This window comes from Homo sapiens, chromosome 18, assembly GCF_000001405.40.
Source record: "Homo sapiens chromosome 18, GRCh38.p14 Primary Assembly".
In the NCBI taxonomy this organism is placed as follows: domain Eukaryota; kingdom Metazoa; phylum Chordata; class Mammalia; order Primates; family Hominidae; genus Homo; species Homo sapiens.
This window is the reverse complement of record NC_000018.10, coordinates 35,388,844-35,390,984: the sequence shown is the minus strand read 5'-3', so window position 1 is coordinate 35,390,984 and position 2,141 is coordinate 35,388,844. Positions and strand designations below refer to the sequence as shown.

The 2,141-nt window shown below is 35.7% G+C and overlaps 1 annotated feature.

The window, feature by feature from the left end:
- Positions 1,346–1,640: a silencer, noted in NCBI's record as "tiled region #14792; HepG2 Repressive non-DNase unmatched - State 24:Quies". NCBI's record gives its function as "represses a minimal TATA promoter and a strong SV40 promoter by Sharpr-MPRA in HepG2 cells {active_cell/tissue: HepG2}" and the evidence as "EXISTENCE:reporter gene assay evidence [ECO:0000049][PMID:27701403]".

Genomic DNA, 2,141 nt, shown 5'->3' with positions numbered 1-2,141 from the left:
AGTATTTTTTTTGTAACTATCTTATTTCTCTTCACATAATATCCTCAAGATTCATCCATGTTGTAGCATGTGTCAAAATTTCCTTCCTTTTTAAGACTGAATAATATGCCATTAAATGCATACCACATTTTCTCTATCCATGAATCTACTGATGGACACTTGTGTTGCTTTCACTCGGTGGCTACTGTGAATAATGCTGTTATGAATATGGGTGTACAAATATCTTTTTGAGTCCCTGCTTTCAATTAATTTGGGTATACACCCAGAAGTGGAGTTGCTGGATCATACAGTAATTCTATTTTAATGTTTTGAAGAACTACAGTACAGTATTTTAACTCTGCTTTCTTAATTATTTCTAAATAATGGAAAAAAGTCATATTACAAATGTAGAATATGTTTTTAAAGAATTTTATGATATGTTAATTCAAAATAAAACATTTTATGTAAATCATTTTTACATATCAAGCAAAAATTGACAAATTATCTTTTTAGTCCCAAGTGGTTTTGAGAAATTAGATATTGATGTCAAAGATGCTCTCTAGTCAAATTAGGTTGAAAAACACTGTATTGGCGGAAACACTGAATTCGGAGCAAGATGGAGATTGATCAGTGCAGCAAGTGGGTAAGGACAGTTATTTAATTAAGAAGTATTCATCGAGTAGTGACTCACTGTATGTGTGTTTTCGATGGACAGTGCAAAAAAGGAATGAGATATCATCCTAAAAGAGCTTAGGGTCTAGTGGACTGGGGCAGGTGGGGCAGGGGATGGAGAACAGTATAATACATCCAATAATTAAAAGATAATTATGTTCAGAATGTATAATTAGGTACTAAATGTACGATACTATCAAATCCTTCAGGGACACAGAGAAAGAAATCACTGCAGGGTAGGGTAACTGGAAGAAACTTCATGATGAAATAAACTGTGTCTCAAATTTGAGAGGATGGGAGGAGTCATTTAAGGTATATACACGGGGAACTTAAAGTTTGTGGAAAAACAAAATTAAGAGATAAAAATTGAAAAATTAAAACTTTATTTCTCAACATAGGCTCCAGACACTTTTGTAAGTGATGAGACCCTCCTAAAGAACTGAGGGTCCTGGGAATTTAACCATGTCAATGCAGTCTTTTTTACATTATTAACTGACGAAAAAAATGGGTGCCCTTTACAGATTTTTTTTAGATTAGAAAATAAAAAAAGTCAGAATGAGCCCAATCAGGACTGTAAGATGGATGATGTCTAATGATTTCCCATTGAAACCTTTGCAAAACTGTCCTTGTTTAATGAGAGGAATGAGTAGCAACATTGTCACTGTGAAGAAGGACTCTCTGGTGAAGATTTCTGGGTGTTTTTCTGCTAAAGTTTTGGCTAACTGTCTCAAACCACCCTCATAATAAGCAGTGTTATCATTCTTTGACCCTCCAGAAAGTCAGCAAGAAAAATTCCTTGAGCATTCCAGAAAACTGTTGTCACAACCTTTGCTCTTAACCAGTCCACTTTTGCTTTGACTGGACCACTTCCACGTCTCGGTAGCCATTGCTTTGATTGTACTTTGTCTTCAGAATCACACTAGTAAAGCCGTGTTTCATCTCCTGTTACAATTCTTCAAGGAAATGCTACTGGGTCTATATCTTATTTGTTTAAAATTTCCACTGAAAGCTCTGCTCTTGTCTGCAGTGGATCTGGGCGCAATGGTTTTGGCACTCATAGAGTGGAAAGTTTGCTCAAATTTTTTAGTCAGAATTACGTAAGCTGAGCCACTTGAGACATCTGTGGTGTTGGCTATTGTTTGTGCTGTTAATTGTCAGTCCTTTTCAACTAGAGCATGAACAAGATCCTTTTTTCCCTTGCAAATTGATGTGGATGGTCTGCCACTGCAGGCTTCATCTTCAACGTTATCTTGTCCTTCTTCAAGTGGTTTATCTATTTGTAAACTGCTGATTTATTTGGGGACATCATCCTCATAAACTTTTTGTAAAGCATCAGTGATTTCACCATTCTTCCATGCAAGCATCACCATAAATTCGATGTTTGTTCTTGCTTCAATTTTAGCAGAATTCATGTTGCTCCAATAGGGGCTCTTTTCAAATTGATATCTTATCCTTCTTAGTGCCTCAAACTAGGTTCTATTCAGACATGT